The 22,004-nt window shown below is 38.9% G+C and overlaps 1 protein-coding gene across 12 annotated transcripts in view; it reads left to right on the top strand.

Annotated features, from left to right (window-relative positions):
- Nucleotides 1-22,004, top strand: part of MYO5A (myosin VA) — a 221,768-nt gene that overhangs the window by 159,040 nt on the left and 40,724 nt on the right. For 8 of the 12 annotated variants that reach the window (XM_047432541.1, NM_000259.3, NM_001142495.2 and 5 more), the window contains 7 exon segments: nucleotides 2,887-2,980; nucleotides 5,309-5,457; nucleotides 9,930-10,043; nucleotides 15,997-16,140; nucleotides 16,353-16,406; nucleotides 18,530-18,757; nucleotides 21,185-21,193. In XM_047432541.1, the coding sequence (XP_047288497.1) occupies nucleotides 2,887-2,980; nucleotides 5,309-5,457; nucleotides 9,930-10,043; nucleotides 15,997-16,140; nucleotides 16,353-16,406; nucleotides 18,530-18,757; nucleotides 21,185-21,193 (792 nt within the window). 12 annotated transcript variants of the gene reach the window in all.

Raw genomic sequence — 22,004 nt, 5'->3', positions numbered from 1 at the left:
CTCATTATCAATGAGTAGGCTGTAGGTCTTTTAGTAGAACTTTCTACTCTAATAAGAACAGAGGCAAAGCTGTATTTTTAGGAGAGAATGGCCAAGTACCTACTAACACTTGTATATTAAAAAAAAAAAAAAAAAAAAAAAGTCAGTCTGGGGCATAGACTCCTTTTAAAAAAAAAGTCAGTCTGGGGCGTAGACTCCTTTTTCTTCAGTAGGGTTAATGTGATTAACCCATTTATGCCTAAGGTTGCAATTTTTTGAATTGCAAAATCAGTCTTTGGCAATGACCTTGAGCAGTAGAATATAAATAACTCCCACATGCTTAGTGTTCTAATAATGGAACATTAGACATAATATTTAGTACCTGATGGTAGGGATCCTTGTTGAAGCCTGCATTAAGGCTGTATTAAGAAGTCCAAGCAGGAGAAGTCTAAATGTCTGCACAGTGATTGCAACCAACAGCTTTACGCAGATGGAACCCTCCCCACAAAATGCTTTCAGATTGACCAGTACTTGCACGCTTCAAATTTGTATTAACATATCAAAACTTTATTAAGTATAGAAGACATTAAGATTGTCAAGTAGTAATGAGATGTACTGCTGAAACATTTGTAAAAGTACCTCAACATTAGGCTTCCTGGAAAAAAGTAATCGATTTTCAGAGATTCCGCTGGTATTACCATCTTTAAATGAAAACAGAGTTGCCTGTGTCAGCTGTAACTGCTGGCAAGAATCCTGATATGGTTTGTCTGTACTGACTTCTAAATGTTAATATCAGCACATGCAGTGAGAACTACAGCAGGAACTTAGATGCAGGTCGGTTAGGATAGGGTGGCTGGTAAAATTGCAGTCCTTCCATGGCATTACAGGTTCCAGTAAAGTAATTCCTCCTATATCTCTAGATCTGTACTCTATATATAGAAACAGCAGTGCCAAAAGGTGAGATTCTTTTCTGTTTTATATAATGTTGTTTTGATACAGCAAGCTTGTTCTCTCAGAATTAAGACGTGCACTCAAAAAGATACTCTTGAATGTTTAAGATCTCTTTTCTTCCCTTTAAGTCTCCCCAAACCACGGAAGCTTTCCAGCTTCGGATTCCTCAGAATCTGTACAGTAGTTAAGTGTGGTGGGAAGATTCTCCTTTCCTTTTCAAAGCCAAGTTCTTGCCTTTCTAGTCTGATAGAATAAACACACAAGCAGATTCAGATTTTTTCTTTCATTTCATTTCATTTTCTCCCACTTCTCACAGAGATAGCTGTAGGCACTAACTTTAGTTCAGACGGTGTTTCCTATGTTGTGTAGGCTGGTCTTGAACTCCTGGCCTCAAGCTGTTTTCCCACATTGGTCTCACAAAGCGCTGGGTTTACAGGTGTGAGCCACTGCGCCTGGCCCCATTAGTTCTTTTGATGGAATGTAGTGATAGGGGAAGAATGAAAACATTTCACTGTGACAGTCAGCTTCATGGTCAGGAAAATGACATTCTCAGTCTGATCAAGGAGCCCAGAAGTTACAGTAGAGTTATGTATGGTTCCTAACCAAGAGCATTTATCAAAACTGCTGGGGAGTTTTTATATAAAAAGGGAGCTATCCAGACTCTGGGAGTGTGGGCTAGGCACATTATTTTGAAAAAGTACCATAGGTGATTGGTTGTGCACCCCTACCAAACAAGAGCCTCTCCTGAAAGCCCACAGAGAGCTGGGGCTTTTTTTACTGAGAGTGGATGTTAAGGCAAGGTCAGTCCAGAGGGAAAAGACTGAGCCCTCGGAAGGGATACCTACTGGACTGATGTCTGCTGTGTGTGGCACAGTGTAGTTATCCAACTTTCCTGCTCCCTGGAGCCCTCTTTTCCTGTCCTAAACCCCCTGACATGACAAGAGATTTGCCTGCCAGTTCTCTCCCTATTATTAAAGCTCTTGTTTTCAGAGTTCCTTAAACTTTAGCTTAGAAAAAGGAATTCAGATTTTACTCATCATAAGCACACACTTTATTCCAAAGATGAGCTGAGTAAATTATGTACTTTGCAAAATTACCTTTGGTTTTAACTTTTCCTTCCTGGGAATCCTTATCCAGCAAAGAACTAGAAAGTTAAGAGTCAACTTGTGTGTGTGTGTGTGTGTGTGTGTGTGTGTGTGTGTGTGTGTGTTTTAAAATATACATGACATAAAATTTACCATTTTCACCATTTTTAAGTGGACAGTTCTGTGGCATTAAGTACATTGACATTGTTGTAATGTCAATGCTTATTTAAACATGGAATAAAAGGACTAGTTCTCAGCCTTGTAAAACTCTTAAAGGGAGATGAAAGAGAAATTCTCTTTCTTGACATCAGATGGGAGAATCAAAAGCTCTTCAGTGAATTTCCCAAACTAAACATCCTCATATCCTTCTTAACCTCCTTAATCTCCCCACTTGAATCATGGGTACACATAAGCTTTGTGTGAAAGCATTCAGAGGAGAAGGTAATATCAATTACCTTTGAGAGCAAATGCTGACTTAGTGCCAGGCAATTTTTTAATGTTTAATGTAAAGTAAAACTTTAATGTTTTAATGTTTAATGTAAAGTAAAAAACCATCACCATCCTTATCCTTCAAGAAATTCTAGTCTATTCTGGAAAAGAGGAAAGTAAATCATTTATAACGGATATAAAGAGCATATACAGGGTCTTGTAGTAGCACAGGGAAAAGACAGCTAATTGAAGGGGGTTTCAGGAAGGCTCTTGGGAGGGAGTAATGCTTGAGCAAGTTTGTAAGGTGACTAGACATAACCAGGCAAAGACAGGGAGCACAGAGGTGGTGGAAGTAAGGAATGACTGCTTATGGTCTTTATCCTTGGTCATCAGGCTTCCTCTGTCCATTGCAACCATCTCAGTTTATTGTTTCATTTCGTAGCTGGTATCAAATCTGAAGGAAGAAAATACTTTGCTGAAGCAAGAAAAAGAAGCCCTCAATCACCGCATCGTGCAGCAGGCTAAGGAGATGACAGGTAAAGCTTATATGCGTACTACACGCCAACCAACCTCACACCAAAGTTATGTAAGTTACAATGTCATTTGATGAGTTACACAACATTATTTAGAATTTAAATATTTTTAAAAGTTGAGGCTGTCATCAGCAAATTTATAAAGTTCCAAGAGGCAACAGATCAGATATTTTGGTTGAATTCGTTGCTTGATAAACTTGTAAATCTGGTATCTCTAGGTACAAATGTGAACTCCGGTTCAGTCAGTGTCATATGTAATTTTTTTTTAAAATTAATTTGTTCTGCATGTGTGATTTACTAGTTAAGGCTTATAGGATTCCTAATGATTTAGTAAGAATTTTTGAGCTGATATGTGTATATTTCTGTGTGTGTGTGTATTGTCTTTTTTTTTTTTTTTTTTTTTTGCTAAATCAATGGATGTTATTCTAAGATTCACCACTCTTTGCTAGTCTAAAAAAACACTAATTTTTAAAATAGAGAACTAACTAGATATGGACATTTATTCTATTTTCTGTTTGTGGGGTAGGTTAGAATGGTGATAAGTTTATAAGGAATCCACATATATATAAATATGGGGTAAGAAGATACAGATCTATACAGTAATTAGTGGTGGAAATGGAAGAGAAAAGATGGTTTGGAATGGGGATATATTATATGAAAATAATACATTTTCATATACATTCTGTTGATTACACTGGTATTCAAAAAAGGCAAAAATGTTCTAAGATTTTACAATGAGATAACAAAACAATAAAGATATGTTATTAGTAATACGGATATTGAGAAAAAAGTATACATTTATGAGGCAAATTAATGAGGCCAGTTGTTGGAGTGTTAAGTTTGATATGTCAGCTAGGACCTCAACATGGAGGTATTCAGAAAGCAAATCCAGATTAAAGAGTAGAGAAAAAATAAGAAGGGAGCCTAAAGATACCCATTAAAACTGTGGTGGTAAGAGAGACTGCCTCACCTCTCCTAGCTGAAGGGGCTAATACTGAGGAAAGAGAAGAAAACCTGGAATTAATGACCATACTAAGGGATGAGGTAAAGAAAAGGAGCCAGAAAATAAAATTAAGAGGTGAAGGAGAAAACAGAGCCCTGGAAAGAAGGCTGCTGGGAGGCAGCATGTAACAGAAGGATCCAGAATGATGAGAATCTTCTAGGAAAATATAAAATGTTATTTGAAAGTGAACTGTAAGAACAAAGAAATGACAGTGAGTTTGCCAAGGGAAAATTTTTTGGTAGGCTCAGAGCAGCTTCTGCAAACTGGTGAGAATAAAAGGCAACTTGTAGAATGTTTTAGAGAGAAGAAATTCTTTCATTCATTCATTTACAAATTATTAAAGCCCTACTCTAGGGAAGCACTGTGGTGGGCACCAGGAAAGCAGCTGTGACAAGACACTTGTAGCCCTTGCCTCATCGTGCTCACAGAGAAAGCAGTGGTGAAGCAATAGAAGCAGGCAGGGCAGATTAAGATTTAGCCTCAAAATATATGGGTAACATGGAGCAAAGTGGTAGAAGCTTAATATTATAAATGTGACTGGTTGGCTGATTGAGTTAAGACATACAGCTGAGATTTGAGGTTTTGTTACTTTACTTCATCTGCAGTCAAGGGCTAATCTCCAATCTCCAGATCATGTCCTAGCCAAAAGCAAACCACAGCCACAAAGAGGGCTGAGGGTGTAGGTAAATGGAGAAGGCAAGGTTTCCTCAGCAGCGCGTGGGGATGACCAACAAGCACACAACACAGCTGGCCAGGCCCGAGCATTTTATCTGGTTAGAAGCTGGGAAGTAATAGGACAGCAGGGGAGGTTAAAGTCGTAGAAAACGTAAGACAGAACTGTGAGATGGTAAATTAAGAGAGACTCTGTAGAGTAGGACAACCGGGTCCACTGAAAAGTTGCCATTCTCTTGAGAAATATCTCTCTTGAGAAATATCTGTGAGGAGGTCATTTTGAGAGAGTACACTACTTTGGGCAAAATAATTTTATGAATAGAATACCATTGGAATAAAAATATGTACACTTTAGTTACTAGACAGTGACTGACTAGTGGAAGTTTTTCAAGGATGTGCTGTAACCAGTGTATCAATTAGTGGTACTAAGGCCAGAGTACATGGAATAACTCAGTAGATGATTGTTATTATTAATAAATTATTTCATTTTTTGGTCATTTTTTCTTTTCCTAAATTTTACTAAGACACTCTTCATGGATCACAGTGATACTAAAAGTAAAATTGCCTACAGAGAAACTGGAAATCAGTATACATGTTTACACAATTGCATTCTCAAGGGGCCATCTTTAGTATGCATATCCTTTTTTTAATTTCAGAAACTATGGAGAAGAAGTTAGTAGAAGAAACGAAACAACTGGAACTCGACCTTAATGATGAAAGGCTGAGATATCAGAACCTTCTGAATGAGTTCAGTCGCCTGGAAGAAAGATATGATGACCTCAAGGAAGAGATGACCCTTATGGTGGTGAGTCAAACACTTTTGTTTTTTTTTTAATGAAAAATTTTAAACATATACAAAAGTAAATAGAATAGTAGAATGAACCTCCATATCTTCTGTGTACCTACCACCCAGTTCCAGAATGTTCAACACATATTCACCTCCCATTCCATCTCCCCAACCCACTCCATCCAATGGATTGGATTATTTTAAAGCAAATCTTAGAAATCATATAATTTTATTCACAAGTACTTCGGTAAAGTCAAACAGTTTAAAGACTGGGCTATGTGATAGTATAAAGTCAGTAAAGTTGGATTTTTGTTTTTGTTTTTGTTTTTTTTTTTGAGATGGAGTCTCCCTGTGTCACCAGGCTGGAGTGTAGTGGCACAATCTCGGCTCACTGCAACCTCCGCCTCCCAGGTTCAAGTGATTCTCCTGCCTCAGCCTCCCGAGTAGCTGGGACTACAGGTGCCCACCACCATGCCCAGCTAATTTTTTGTATTTTTAGTAGAAATGGGGTTTCACCATGTTGGCCAGGATGGTCTCGATCTCTTGACCTCATGATCTACCCACCTTGGCCTCCCAAAGTGCTGGGATTACAGGCATGAGCCATTGCGCCCGGCCAGTTGGACTTTGTTTTATATATTGAATGGCCTAATGTAAAATTTACATGTAGACTGGTTTTGATTATAATTTTGAAGATATATTCCTATGAAAAGAAAATTCAGACTCCATTTGTAATGAATTATCTATTTCAAGGACTCTTCTGCATTTGCCAATGTACCTTTCATACTTGTAATAATTCTGCACATCCTCCCCATTCCATGTATCCTGCTATCAGGAAACAAAGAGTTCCCAAGCATCCCTACAAGTACCAGCCTTAAAGGTAACCTAATTATACAAATGACCAGAAATGCCCTGAAATATCTCATAAAAAGCCAGATAATTCAGTATCTGTGGAGCAGAGTATTTTCTTCAAATTTTGCTTCTATCTGGACCTACTGACAAAGTTCATTACAATATGACACTTAAAAGTCAAAATAAAAGAGATTGTGTAATACAAAAGATAGGCTCTCATCACCTTGCAGATGAGAAAATCCTGTCTAAAAGAGACCAAAAAGCTAATATAAATCCCACATTGGACCATTATTTCAACCCTCACTACTCTGATTTATGTGTGACAAAGAGAAATTAGAAGTAGATGCAAGTCACCATTATAACTGTTCTTATAATTGACAAATCTAAAGACCCTTGTTAAGCTTCATCTTCCTAGATCACCGTGCTACCGTTGGTCCCATTGAAACCTTTCTTCCTTCACATTCTGTAATTCTTAGCTTTCTCTTGAATCCTTTTCTTCTTTTTCAGTGTTCATGTTCCCCAGTTCCATTCTTTGGTGTGTTTTTGTTCACTCTATTTATTAGATGACAATGCCAACATTTATGGTTAATCTCTGTTTCAGTTATGGTTAGAGCTAAGCTTTATAACCCAGTAGGTGTTTCTGAGACCCCCTAGTTATTTGGGATGTTAATAAGTGGGATTGGAAAAGAAATTCTTAGGTAAAATAAATGTGGTAATCTACTAGGTTAAACAGAGATAAACAAATGTCTTTTCTGGAGAATTTCTTGGATTCTTTAATGGTGCATGCAATATGAATTTCAGAAAATAAAATGAGAGAAGCAGGTGCCATACATGTATCCCTCTCTGAGCATATTCCAGAGATATCCATCTGTGAGGAGGTCATGGGTCTCTTTAGTCGAGGAGGTGGCCATTTCTAGAAAGGTCCTCCAGTGACGCCTCCTCCAGCAGCTTGACACGGCTCCTCCTTCCTGCTAAGCAAGTCTGCCTGCTCTCCATCTGTTCCCAGCAGTGCTCTAGAGGTAGTTTTAGTTGCTCAATTTCTTATTTCTCAGTCATGTGTCCTCTCCATTGTATGCCTGTGACTCAGTCATTCCTCTTGGGAGACAAAATGGTCAGAGGAAGGGAAAAGGAGAAAGCAGAGGAAGGGAGATCAGAGCTCACTTGCTTCCCACTCATTTCTTCACTAGATCTCCTTTTCCTAGCTCCAGATATAATCAAGATGACAGTTTTTGCAGAAAATATTTGCCCAGAATTGCAGAGAATAAAAAACTTGATCTTTTAACCCATGACAATTAAAATATTAGTGACAATATCTTATTTTAATGTTTAGGTACAACTAAACAGCTAACAGATGAGTACTTGACTAATATTAGACTGACGCTGTTCTGTAAATGACACTCTCACTGCTTCAATCCAGAGCTAATGAAGCATTTGGTTGTAAACAGAGTCGTCATATGAATGGAGGAAACTCTAGGGAGGGGACTTGATACACTGCCTCCAGCGCTTCCCATAACCTATGTGATACATGGGCCAAAGAACACTAATAGTGTCACTCATTGCCAGCCTCTAGAGTTGTTGGCCCTAGTACAAGAAGTACTGTAGCATTTTTCTCCAAGAACATTCGGTTGTCCAGGGAATATAGGGGCAGAGGCAAAGAGGAAGGACCAATCCAGGGCTAAGGAGTTTCAAGCCAATGATGAAAAGATCATGAGGCATGGGCATCCAGGTTTATGAAGTGTTTAAAGATAAATTAATTCCAGAGAGGGGAGGGAAACCAGCATGTCAATCATGGGGTCGTTAGTCTTGACAAAGGGATAAAACATGTTCTGGAAAAGAAGGAATCATGGGAGAAATCAGGAGCAGAAGAGGAGGGAGGTGCAGATCTTGAAGGAGAACGTGATGATCCAGTCAAATATATATCCTTGTAATTGAAAAACGTATAAACGGGGGAACAAAATCCTAAAAACAGAGAACTGAAAAGTTACCAACAAGGAAGTTGCTGAATCACTGCAATCTCCTAACAATCACAGCAGCAGAAGTTAACATTCATTGAATGCTTGTTATGCCAAGCCAAACTCTTTACTTCCACACTCTTATTTAATCCTCACACAGACCCTATGAGATAGAAATTAGTACCCTTTTTTTCCTGATGATGAAAATACCAGCTAGTGGAAGAGCTGGTATTCCTGCCTAACTCTCTCTCGTTTCAGATCCAGAGCACTTAATCACTGCCCTGTATCCAAAAGTTACATTAAATAGCAAAAAGCAATGTTGCTTCTATTAATGCCTTAAGGTATTCCTTGTATAATGATAGACATATGTGGGAAGACAGGGATCTCTCTCATTTTTAATAAGCTTATTAAAAATCTTTGTCCTGGTGTTTATCTGGACTACCTGGTTTTCTTAGTGATACAACCAGTTTATTAAATAAATGCCATTCCTACAACTGTGGGCTTGGGCTGGAAACTTTAAGCAAGAGTGCCTGTGTCTGTAAACAGACAGTGAATTTGAGTGCCTTTGACTTCATGTGTGATGATTGTCCCCTTTAGTGTGCACCCCAGCTTCTGGATCGTTTCAGAGGTGCTGGTGTTCTTGGATCTTCCCTTCACATTGCAGTACAGGTTGGGTTGGCCTGGGAGACTTTTACGTGCCTCTGGATGAGTCTGCTCTCCATAAGCCTGGGTGTTGGAAGGGAAGAGACAAAGAAGCTCTTTGTGGCTTCTAGCTCTTTTCCAGCAGCTGGGGAAAGGTACAAAGAAAACTGGACAGATGAGAAAGCTCTCAGAGGCCTTTGTGAAGCCCTCAGGACTGTAACACTGCAAGATTAAGCCACTGGATCTTTTCCACCTCTCCTGCTGGGGACATGCTAAGAGCCCAGCCTTTTAATTCCTTCTTCCCTCAAGTTATTCTCTAACCCCTTCTCCTACAGGAGGGAAGGGTGTGTCGTTGCTAAACTTTTCTATTCCTCTTGAACTTTCTCAACACTAATTTCCTAGGTATTACATGTCATAAAAATGCCACCTGGATGCCCTGAGGTAATAACCGAGGGCTCTTCAGAGGATTACTAGAGCAGCTTTCTTACCTCCCGTGTACTGTCCATCCTGCCCACTGCTCACTCCAAAGATTTAACTTCACGTATTAAAGTGACAGAAGTTAGAGCTGCCTGTGTGAACTCCTTCATCTTTCTTTTAAACCATTTATGCCTAGTTACCATGCAGTAAAATGATTGTGCATGCCATTTCAATATATTTTATGAGGTTTTTGTAAGTTTTATTTGATTATGGCACTAAAAGTCAGTGCTTGGAAGCTTCACCCAGTGCTTCACTGAGCACTGCTTCACCCAGTGTGACTGACCGCTCAAAGCTTTCAACACCCAAAGGGGACTCGACTAATAATCAGAAGTGGTTTTCATTTGGGCATTTGGTTTTGCAACTGTTCTTGTCCTGTCATGCCAGTGTACCTTTTTCTTTGAAGCGGTGACCTTTTTGTAATTATTTGGTCAAAACAATATGGAACAAATCACTTGGGCACCAATACAAGTCAGGAAGTAGGGATAAGAACCAAGTCAAGGTGGATGCTGTCTTAACTATGCCTAGACTAATTATGTTGCATTAATTATACCTGGGTTATTTGCCTTGCAGCATGTGCCTAAGCCTGGACACAAGAGAACAGACTCCACCCACAGCAGCAACGAGTCTGAATATATCTTTAGCTCTGAAATTGCAGAAATGGAAGACATTCCATCAAGGACAGAGGTACAGTTTAGACATCTGTCACTGAAAGTAGGATATGAGCATGCTGTTGTTAACAAGGAACATTTCCATTGCAAAGCAGACTCCAATTGGCCATAAACATAGTATTTGTTTGAATCATTTATTCTTCATAAGTGACTTGTAGATACAAACTTATTTACATTTTTGTATACTTAAGTGCTGTGTACATACATACCTATTGCATTTTTTTGTCAATACAAATTTTAATTTTAATTTTTAATGCAATTTTGATGGTGAGATTTTATTTTTATAATTCTCTTTACCCCTAACATGATATGTTTACAGGAATTTATTTCAGACTGAGGTAAATTATTTTATTTTTACTTATTATTTATTTACTTTATATCTGTGGACCACCGCTGTAGACAGAGGTAAATTATTTTTAAAGTAAGCCCTTTGTCCTTGAATATTATAAACACCAGTGCCCCAGAGTTTAGCAAAACTGATGCCTCTATTTTATGCCAGTTTTTACCAATGTAACTTTCTTCTACAAAATGCATGGAAAATAGTTTAGAAATCTGCTTTAATGTTTTGTGTTTTGTGGTATGAAACCAAAATGATGTATTACTGTAACTCCAAGAGTATAGTGACTTTTAGTTAGATTATTCCCAACCAATTCTAAGATCTTTTAAAATATGATATAGTTTCAATAATGGGTAATTCAGGCACAACTGTCCTATTTTTATATTATATTTTTTGAAAATGGCCAAATCAGAAATAGACTGCTTCTGGTAGAATAGCTAGAGAAATTGAGTGATTCTTTCCTTTCTTGTCTTAGTTCTACTTAAGAATGAAGTTTCTGCCATCTCATTCTGTTAATTTTGAAGAAAAATGTTACATAGTTGGAATGTCATATCATTGGAATCATACATACAAGAAGGCTAAGTAATTTGTCCAGGTTCACAGCTTATAAATGGTAGATCCAGCATACTAACTGAGGCTTGTCTCTTTAGAATTCATGTTCTTAAGCCATTATATTCTACTGACTTCCATCCAGGGATTCTGTACTGCAACTCTCCAATCCCTTTTCTATCTATAGCTAACATTGGCTGGGGCCCATGGATATAACAGTATGGCCAGGATATAGCAGGATAGAGGTTTTTCCAGTTATCTATTGCTATGTAATAAATGATCTCAAGTTTTAGTGTTTTTTTTTTAAAAAACAGTAATTTATTATTACTCATAATTCTGTGGGATTTGACTGGGGAGTTCTTCTGTTCCATGTGGTGGTGGTCGGAGTGCCTCATGTAGCTGCATTCTGTAGAGTGCTTGCTTCTCTTCCCTGGGCCTCTCCATGTAGCCTCTGTTCAGCAGCAGGTAGGTGGGTTCTAAGAGTGACAGACTAAAAGATGCCAGGCCTCTTAGAGCTAGGCCCAGAACTGGCCCAGTGTTAGTTCTGCTGCATTCTGATCAAAGAAAATCACAAGGTCAGCCCAGATTCAAGGCAAAGGGGATAGATTCCATCTCTTGTTGGGAGGAAATACTTGTATGTTGAGAAGAATCATTGGTGCCATCTTTGGAGAATACCACAAAGTTAGACTTTGAAGATTTAAAAATTAGGACTTCTGAGCCTTCAGTAGATAGGAAGGTTTTAGGATTACATCCTGTTGATCTCAGTGGGAGTACTCACTTGCAATAGTCGGAGGGAAGTACATTTACAAGCTGCCCATTCCAGTGTAGTACCACTTTAGCAGCTCTGCTGGTAGGGGGAAGCCATGATAAAAAGGGTGTGCTTGCCGGAAACCAGTCTGTAGCTCTGTGGAGAATTCGCCTGCCAGTCCCACTTGTTTTGCAGCCCTCCCACGCTTGCCGATCTTCATGGGCTGGGATGACATTGCTTTGGAACCAGTGCTCCTCCTGCTTGGTGTGCACCTCTTCTAGGAGCCCTTGACTGATGATCCCTGTTCTGCTTCTGCTGTCAAGCTTTCTCACACCTTTCACCTCTGGGAAGGGTCACCAGAACTTTCTCAGCTATCATTAGGAGTTATTTCAGAATGACTGCCAGGCCTGTAGTGGTGGTAATTTTGTGAATAAATTCAGTTATTTTGATTTTCCTCAGATGAGAGACTAGTGTTATTTTTTAGGTCAGTTAAAAAGCTTCGCTGTCTTAGAAAAGCCCTGGGTGACAAAGTCCTTACTAAGGCAAAAAGCGAAACAAAACCTCAGAAACTTCTCTGTGACAGATGGCCCAATCTTCCTTCTTGCTCATGGGGTATAGTGAGGACAGCTCTTTAATTTGATAGCATCTCTTTAATTAGATGTGTCATCCGGGCTCAGAATGGGTACCATCGGGAGCACTCTTAAATAATTACCACTCTTTATGCCTCGAGTCATTTTGCATTTTTCAAATGTAATCTTTTGTGATCTTCCACCTTCTATTTTAATATTCTTATCCACAGAATTTTGCTCTTGTCCAGCAATCAACTAGTTGTTTATATAGTATTAGCCAATGTCTAAAGAGTTAACCCATCACATTTTTTCTTTTTTTTTTTTTTTTGCTAGTTCTAGTTATCAAAACACCATCCCATTTTAATAAGAGGATTCCTTTTAAACAAAAAGTGCCCATTCAAGGCTCAAAGGAATGATTTCCAAGTGATATTTTAGGTATAATGAATGAAGTATTATATTCATTTCTAGAATGAAAGGTTCTATGACAGTGTAAGAAAAGATTAAATAATTTAAAATTTCAGGGACATGTACATCATTCATAAATGAACAAACATTAAAATATATAATATGGAATGTTTACATTGTAAATAAGCTTCAATATAAGTATTTTACGCTTAATTTTTATGGGGGACGTATAGAGAAGAATTTTTATATGAATGAAATTCTGTGGTGATTTCGTGTTGAGGCAAGATGTTATATCTGTTCTGCTAAGTCAGGACAGACTTTATTATAAAGATTATATACCTAAAACTTTTTCTAATTGTTAAGTATTACAAAGTAGGCAGAAAGAAAAAGTTCAGGTGTAATTAATTTGTGGACAAATGACTTTGACAGCCTATAAATGCCTACTTTTTTGTTCAGTTGATTCTTCTCAGGTTGTTTTTGAATTGGAATAACACTTAACACTACTCTGAATTCATGAAAGACCAAAGGTAGCTAATTAATATACAATTCCTGAAAATAAAAAAAAAAAAAAAAAAGTCAAAGAAATGCAAATTAAATCAACAGCGAAGTGCCACTTTTGGTCTATTAACTGAGCTAATTTTTTTTTTTTTTTAATTATAACGGTTACTACTGTTGAAGGCAAGGTGATGGTTGCTGATAGAAGTTTAAATTGGCCCAATTTAATGGACTTTTAAGAAGTTAATGTTTAGATATTTATATACTGGGGTGTTTATTTTAGTAATATTCCAATAGCAAAAAATTAGAAACAACTTCAACACCCATCAGTAAAATAATAGCTAAGCAAATGGTGACACACCTGTCTATATATTGAAATATCATATTATAAATTTGGGAAACAATGCAATGCCAAGTTTAAAAGACCATATAAAATTATAATGACATTATTATTCTAATTCTTTAAATCTATAGATGCATAGAGAAAAAGACTAAGAAAAAATTGTAGTTTTTCTGTGGCGATAGGATTATGGCTGTGTTTTTCTTCTTTGAACTTTTCTTATTTCCTAAATTTTCTGTAAAAGCTTATTCTGTTCTCATATCAGAAAAGCAAAAGTAAACATTCTCTTTTTAAACAATTGGGTAGATTTACCAATCATTTAAGAATTATACTTTGACCATTTAGTTAAATAAATGATTGTTGCCATTCTCTTGCTCCTCCAGCCCCACTTGTCTCTCTCTAACAAAGGGACTCTTTATCTTCCACATTAATTCTAATAGTACAATTATTTCTCTTCTTACCTCATTAAAAATTAAAACCTTAGGTAAACATGTTAAAACAATTATGGCATCCACAACTTCCATTATGATGGTTAGTTGTTTCCATTCTTTTTAGCTTTAATTAGTGTACCTTTATTTATCCTAGTAGGTCTCATTGTGATTCTGTTTTGGAACCAGTTGACACATTTTTAAAATGTTATTAGGTTATCCTTCAGTTTATTAAGAACTATACAGTCGTCCCTCGGTTTCCACAGGGGATTGGTTCCAGGACTTTCATGAATACCAAAATCTAAGGATGCTCAAGTCTCTTATATAAAATGCAGTAGTATTTACATATAACCTATGCACATCCTTCCATATTCTTTAAATCATCTCTACATTACTTATAATACCTAAGACAAGCTATGTAAATATAGCATTATTTAATACCTAAGACAATATATAATTAAATAAAACATTATTTAGTACCTAAGACAAATATAGAATATTGTAATACCCAAGACAATATAAATGCTATGTAAACAATACAGTATAATAACTATTTATTTGTAATAAAAAGCCAAGTTGCGCAGCACAGGTCTATCTGCAGAGCCAAGGCTGGGCTTTATGTCTATTTCAGCAGTCTCTTCTTAGTGGGGACACAGCCAAGCCTAACCAAGCAGCGTTTTGTTAAAGTAGTGAGGGCTAAACTCTCTTCACTGTTTTCTGAAGAGGCAGTAAATATTCTAACAGTAAAAATGTGATAATCATTTTCATTTTTATTGTTTGGGAGTTTTTTTGGGGGGGAATATTTTTGATCCACAGTTGGTTGAATCTGAGAGGATGTGGAACCCACAGATACAGAACCCAAGGATATGGAGGGCTGACTGTATATGTTTGGTTTATCAGATTTCAGTTTTCTCTGTGTGATCTCAATATATTTATGCTGGCATTTCATATTTTCAAAAATCATTCTTCCTGATTGTAAATGTAGAATCTGCCCATTGTAAACAATTTAAATATGGGAATGTACAATGTAAAAAATGAAACCTTCCCATAGTACATTCCGTCTTCTGAGATAACCACTGATGGCCTTCCAAATTTTTATATGCATGTGCTAGGTATACATTTAAAAGTCACATATGTTTGTGTTTTATTAACAAAAACAAGATATATTTTCTGTCCTACAGTTTGTGTGATCATGTAATACTTTAAGATATATTTATCTGCTCATGTTGATATACTTCATTCTTTTTTTTTTTTTTTGTGAGATGGAGTCTCACTCTGCTGCCCCAGCTGGAGTGCAGTGGCGCAATCTCAGCTCACTGCAACCTCCACCTCCTGGGTTCAAGCAATTCTCCTCCCTCTGCCTCCTGAGTAGATGGGATTACTGATGTGTGCCACCAGGCCCGGCTAATTTTTATATTTTTAGCAGAGATGGGGTTTCACCGTGTTGGTCAGGCTGGTCTTGAACTCCTGACCTTGTGATCCACCCGCCTTGGCCTCCCAAAGTGCTGGGATTACAGGCATGAGCCACCGTGCCCGGCCTACTTCATTCTTTTTAACAGCTAAAAAATATTTCACAGTTTGGCTATACCATAATTTACTTAAGCAACTGTCCTATTGACTGACATTCAGATTATTGTCAGTTTTTCGCAATTACAAAAAAAATGCTTCAATGAACATCTTTTTCCATATATTTTTATATACTTGTGTAAGTATTTCTGTAGGATTAATTCCTAAATGTAGATTTGCTAGGTTAAAGGTATGCACATTTAAATTTTAGTAAGTTCGGCAAAATTGCCCGTTTCAAAGGCCTACTTTTACTTCCACCAATATCATATGAGACACTGTGGCTAATGCAGAGCATTATGAATCTTTTTAGTCTTTGCCAGTCTGATAGGGGAGAAGTAGCAGCTCATTGTTGTTTAATTTGCATTTCTCTCATTGTTAGCTAGGTTGAGCATTTTAAAAATATATTCTCTAGATGTTTGTATTTCTTATTCTGTAAGTTTGCCTATTTTTCCATTGAGCTGTTTGTCATTTTCTCATTGGCTTTTATGTCTTCTGGCTTGTCTTGACCATCTTTGTGATTCCTGGGGTTTAGGAACCAAGTGAGAAGAAGGTACCTCTGGACATGTCATTGTTCCTTAAGCTCCAGAAGCGGGTCACAGAGCTGGAGCAGGAGAAGCAGGTGATGCAGGATGAGCTGGACCGCAAGGAGGAGCAGGTGCTCCGCAGCAAGGCCAAGGTGCGCAGCACAGCCCATCCGCAGAGCTGAAGCTGGGCTTTATGTCCATTTCAGCAGTCTCTTCCTTAGTGGAGACTCAGCCCAGCCTATCCAAGCACCACTTGGTTAAAGTAGTGAGGGCTAAACTCTCTTCACTGTTTTCGGTAGAGCAAGTAAATATTTTAAGAGTAAAAATGTGACAATTAAAATATAAAACTTTAACTTTTCCCTAGGAAGAAGAAAGACCACAAATTAGAGGTGCAGAACTGGAATATGAGTCACTCAAGGTAATGGGGAGTTTCTGCTCAAGACTTTGAATATTTTGTTTTGGCAAGAGGCCCATTCAGAGCCTCTCTTTTTCTCAGAGAACATCCTTAAGGGTTGGAGATTGCACCAGAGGTCCTAGCTTCAGCCTTATTCAGCATTACTTCTTGTGTTGTTTCTTTTTATAAATTCCATTTCATATAAGCTAGACTTTAGTCTTAACAGGAACAGGAGAAGTAGCTGCTGTTCGAGGCTGTGGTAGTAAAGGACGTGGACTCTAGCATCTGCCACTATAAAAATCCAATTGGGTATGATGGGGCAGACCAGACATAGGAGTAGGAATCTGCTCTCCAGACTTCTCCTGCTTCACACAATAATGAATGAATAAAAACATTCTCTGTAGTGTGAATGAAGCCTGGATTCACAAAGTATTAGATTAGTGGCTCTCAAAATATGGTCCCTGGACCAGCAGGATCAATGTCACCTGGTAGCTTGTTGGAAGTGCAAATTTTCAGGCCTCACACTACTAGACTTATTGAATCAGAATCTCTGAGGGTGCGCCCCAGCAATCTGTGTTTGAACAAGACCTCTGGGTGATTCTGATACACAGTAAATTTGGGAAACATTTGTAGTTTACACATCAAAGTAATGACATTTATGTGTCTTCTGTTACAGAAATGAGCAATAAGAATCTGATTACCAGTTGGTGGGAGAATGGGGAAGGGAGAGAGCATTCATTTTTACAAAAGAATAGATTAATTCATGAAAGAAAGGGTTATATATTCTTAAACTAGAAAAAAGAAGGACTTTAAATAGTTTTTTTTTCTTTTTTCTTTTTTCTTTTTGAAATGGAGTCTCGCTCTGTCACCCAGATTGGAGTGCAGTGGTGTGATCTTGGCTCACTGCAAGCACCGCCTCCCAGGTTCATGCCATTCTCCTGCCTCAGCCTCCCGAGTAGCTGGGACTACAGGTGCCCGCCACCACGCCCGGCTGATTTTTTGTATTTTTTTAGTAGAGACGGGGTTTCACCATGTTAGCCAGGATGGTCTCGATCTCCTGACCTCGTGATCCAACTGTCTCGGCCTCCCAAAGTGCTGGGATTACAGGCGTGAGCCACAGTGCCCAGCCTAAATAGTTTTAATATAACACATTGAAAGGACTGATATAGTGCTACAAACCTAAGGTTTTGTCTCTGGGAAGAAACAATAAAATATTCAATGTTTATACACAAGTGTTTCAGTATCATCAGGCCTTGTGTCCTGTGCTAAATGAGGCACCATGGTGCTTTTAAGTGCCTGTCTGCATCTGTGTTTCCCAACCAGTATCTTGTGACACTTGTGTGCTAGTGTCGGTGGCACTCTATTCTGGGTTCCTGTTGCCATTGTTTGAACAGAGCATGGAGTGGGCAGCACTAACTGGTGGCAGGGGCTGGCTGGTAAGACATGAACTATTGGAGGGATGAGGATGTGCATATCCTTCTGGATGGCTGGAGGAAGGCCTTCAGCCTTGCCTCCTGCCTCCCAAGGCTCTGCCCACAATGTCACAAGTGCGTCACACAGAAAAGAAGTTTGAAAAATACACTATTTGTTGTCATTTAGACACAAAAGGGAGTTTTACCAGTTTGAATGAGATGGTAAACTTTTTAAATTAGAAGTTAAAAGCCTAACATTTCAATAGTCTTTCCATTCTGCTTTATAAAGGAAGTAAGAGGAGACTACTAAAGACTTCAGGGATCCACCCATCTGAATCATTCATTGGAAATATCCTGGCCAGCTGGACCCTCAGATTTCCCATATATTTATCTGCAAACAAAAGCTAGGCTCCATAGCACTGGCTAAACTCACCCCTTGGGACTCAGCAATCTCTCCATGCCAGTGAACACACCCTGGGCAGGCCAGAATACTACATTTGACTCTGGAATTTGGGCTGATGAAGCAAACTTCCATTGACCTTGCTCAATTCTACTTGATGTCAGACTTCCTTAATTTGCAAAGCAGGGCTCCTGGCAGAACCTAGGAAGCCATTCACTAGGGTAACTCTGATGAACTTTTTCAGCAGAATTCTTCTACCAGCTTGGGAGAAGTTTGAGCATCCAACGTAAAGTTGAGGATGACAGCAATGAACTTTTCTTTGTCTTTTCATACAGCGTCAAGAACTAGAATCAGAAAACAAAAAACTGAAGAATGAGCTAAATGAGTTGCGCAAGGCCCTCAGTGAGAAAAGTGCCCCAGAGGTGACCGCCCCAGGTGCACCTGCCTACCGTGTCCTCATGGAGCAGCTGACCTCTGTGAGCGAGGAGCTTGATGTCCGCAAGGAGGAAGTCCTCATCTTAAGGTCTCAACTGGTGAGCCAGAAAGAGGCCATCCAACCCAAGGTAAGCGCAAGCACACAATTAAACTGGGTGTTCGGGGACTGGCCTCAATATCTTCTTATCCCTTCCCTCCAGTTTATAATGCAGCAAACACTTAAGAGCATTTTTAATCTAATTGAGGATTCATTATTTTTTTAAAAAAATCCCAGTGTTGTTTAAAACTATTGTAAGTATAAATTGGAATGAGCAAAAAGCCAGGGGAATCCCAAATGATCACAAAGTTTCATCTCTCATGAGTTTTAAAATTAATCTTTTTGTAGTAATCTGGCCACAATAAATTTTAATCTAAAATAAAATTTTATTAAATACAAAAATCTCTAAATTTTCTTACTGCGGGAAGGCATTAAATACAACTTTAAAATCATTTGTCAAAAATAGCTGGTTTAATTGGAGAAGTAACAGATGAACCGGTTAGAAGTGACATCAGTGAGTGGAAGTTACATGGAGATGATTTCTGCTCACTTTAGGCAGTTCTGTTTAGTAGCGGGGTGATGTCCCAGTGGGAGGGGCTGTTTAAGGATTCAACAGAGAGGACTCCTGCACTGAGGATATAGATGGCCCTTTGAAGTCCTTCCCTGCCTTCATTTGAGACCCAGTGCTGCCGTATGCTGAAGAGAGATGGGCCTTTCTGTCATTTGCCACCAGAGGGAATCTGAGTGATCACCTTGAAAACCTGGCCTGCCTCCCTGCCCTTGTGCACACAGCAGAGCATCACAGGACTCAAGGCAGTCAAGCATCCCAACTGTGTGGTGTGTCATATAAAAAAATCCATGATATATAATGAGCTGGATGCCTGAAAATCTGAGAGTACTCCTCTTAGAAATGATATTTCTGCATGCAGTTTAGATACTGTGCCTGGCACGTATAATCGGACTTGATGAAGGCAACTCACACCTGAGATCAACACTGGTCCAAAAAATATCAAATTCTAAAAACAAGATGTTTGACTAATTTGGGGGAATAAAATTCCTGTAATAGTGGAGTTATATAGAGAAATGGGCTTTCTTACTTTAAAATAAATCACAGGCCAGGTGTGGTGGCTCACGCCTGTAATCTCAACACTTTGGGAGGCCGAGGCGGGCAGATCACGAGGTCAGGAGATCGAGACCATCCTGGCTAACACAGTGAAACCCCATCTCTACTAAAAATACAAAAAATCAACCGGGTGTGGTGGCAGGCGCCTGTAGTCCCAGCTACTTGGGAGGCTGAGGCAGGAGAATGGCGTGAACCTGGGAGGCGGAGCTTGCAGTGAGCCGAGATCGTGCCACTGCGCTCCCGCCTGGGCGATAGAGTGAGACTCCGTCTCAAACTAATCATAATCATAATCATAATCATAATCATAAACCCCTTAAGCCAGAAATGAGAAGAACCCCCATTTTGGCTTGCCGTATAGGTTGCACCTTACCCCAGGGCTGTCACAGTTGGTTCCCTTGGCTACCACTGTGGCTGGGCCTCAAGAAACAAGGCTTGCAATCTAGCTTGAGCAGAGTCCAAAATCAAGATTCCTTTCTCTAGTTTTCTTGAGACAAATTAGTATTCTTTCTTAAAAAAATGTTAATTGACAAATAATAATTGTATATATTTATGGGGTTGCAATGTGGTAATCTCACAAGAAATTTTAGTAAAAATCAAGAGAAAGGAAAAGAAAAATGAAGCAAAGGACATAAAAACAGTCCAGCTAACAGAGCACATAGTTCTGCTATCACACATTCTCCCTTGCCCGGCTCACGTACCCCATGTGACAGCTGCTCTCCTGACCCTAATGGGCTGACCCGGTCCAACTGAGGTACCTAAGTTCCTCAGCTCCCAGCCTAAACATGGTAGCACTCGTGTCCCATCCTAGGAGAAATGCCCTTGACACTAATTAAGATCTTCCAGACTCCCCAGGGCTGTTTGTCTCACTCAGTTTCTAGTCTGAGAGACACATCATGTCACCACTCCATTGCAGGGCAGTGGTGAGCAACACCCTGTGAGCTAGGGAATGATCCAGCCCAGGCAGGTCTTGTGTATTGGCTCCACCTCTAGAGTATTCTGGGAATCTTCCCTTGGACAAACGACTTCTGTGAGAGACATAACTTTAACTCCACAGACCTACGATAAGAATTTCACCCACAAATAACAGGAGGGTCATTCTCTCACATACTCAAAGATATTTTATAACCAGAAAAATCAAAACAATTTTAAAAGAATTTCAAGCATTTGTTCCTGGAAATAGAAGTTGTCAACATATAAATATATATTAGTCTCTGTTTTATGACAGTTCCAGGAATGTTAATGTATATATAGAGTTAATTTTAGAGAAACAACTCATGGCTGTTTTTAAATTAGCTTTTATCTGTTATAATAGGAACTCATTGATGAAATTTATTTATGGAACTAAGGGTTTATTGTTTTCTCTGTTTTTTGTGCTTGCTGACTTGTGATTCTCAGGATGACAAGGTAATTATACCTTTTTTTTTTTTTAGTAAATACTTCTATTTAATCCTAACTTTAGTTTACAAGTATCCCCCAATAAAGGCAATTGATGCTTTCTGACCAAGTCTATTTTGATATTTTGAATTTGTAAGTGAATTTCCGATTTGACTCCTTCTGATTTGGGAAGTCAGTAGGGAAACAGTGGTTATAGTAGGCTCCAGTCTAGATTATAGAGGGGACTCCATGACTTCTAATTCATAGGCAGCTCTATGACTCACTGCCGTAGTTCTGGTAGGCTGTCCACAGGCTGGGGAGGGAAGCCCTTAACTTGGAGTACACTCAAAAGCACAGGCTCTCCTGAGCTCTCATATCTACCAGTGGCGGGCTTGTTGGTTAAGGGTGAAGGGGAGCCTGAGGAGCTGAGCACACTGTTCTTTGCTGCCATTTTCATCTCCCTGAGTGTAGAGTCCACAGCTAGAATGAAATGTGGCTCGTTGACGAGGTTGCAAAGTCAAATTTCTCTACCATATCCCTGTTTCTCTATGTACTGAGTGACAGATATTGCTGGAATTTTCCTATATAGCACAACCCTTTTAGAACTTCTGGTCACAGGCTTAAGAGAGACAAAGTTTGAGCAGTGAATCAGGAACTTCCTGAATGCTGGTGGCCCAAATCTGATCCCATTCCCCAAGTGCCACTTTTTAGCTAAGGTAGTCAGAATGAGGGAAGAACTGGTGACTTACCACCCAGGAGAGAAGCATACTAAGAAGCCTTTCTTCTCTTGGATTAGTTAATTTGATCAAGTTACCTCATTTGCTAAAAGTTCACAACCATA

This window comes from Homo sapiens, chromosome 15, assembly GCF_000001405.40.
Source record: "Homo sapiens chromosome 15, GRCh38.p14 Primary Assembly".
NCBI lineage: Eukaryota > Metazoa > Chordata > Mammalia > Primates > Hominidae > Homo > Homo sapiens.
The sequence above is the reverse complement of the archived record's forward strand: the minus strand, read 5'-3'. Positions and strand labels throughout refer to the sequence as shown.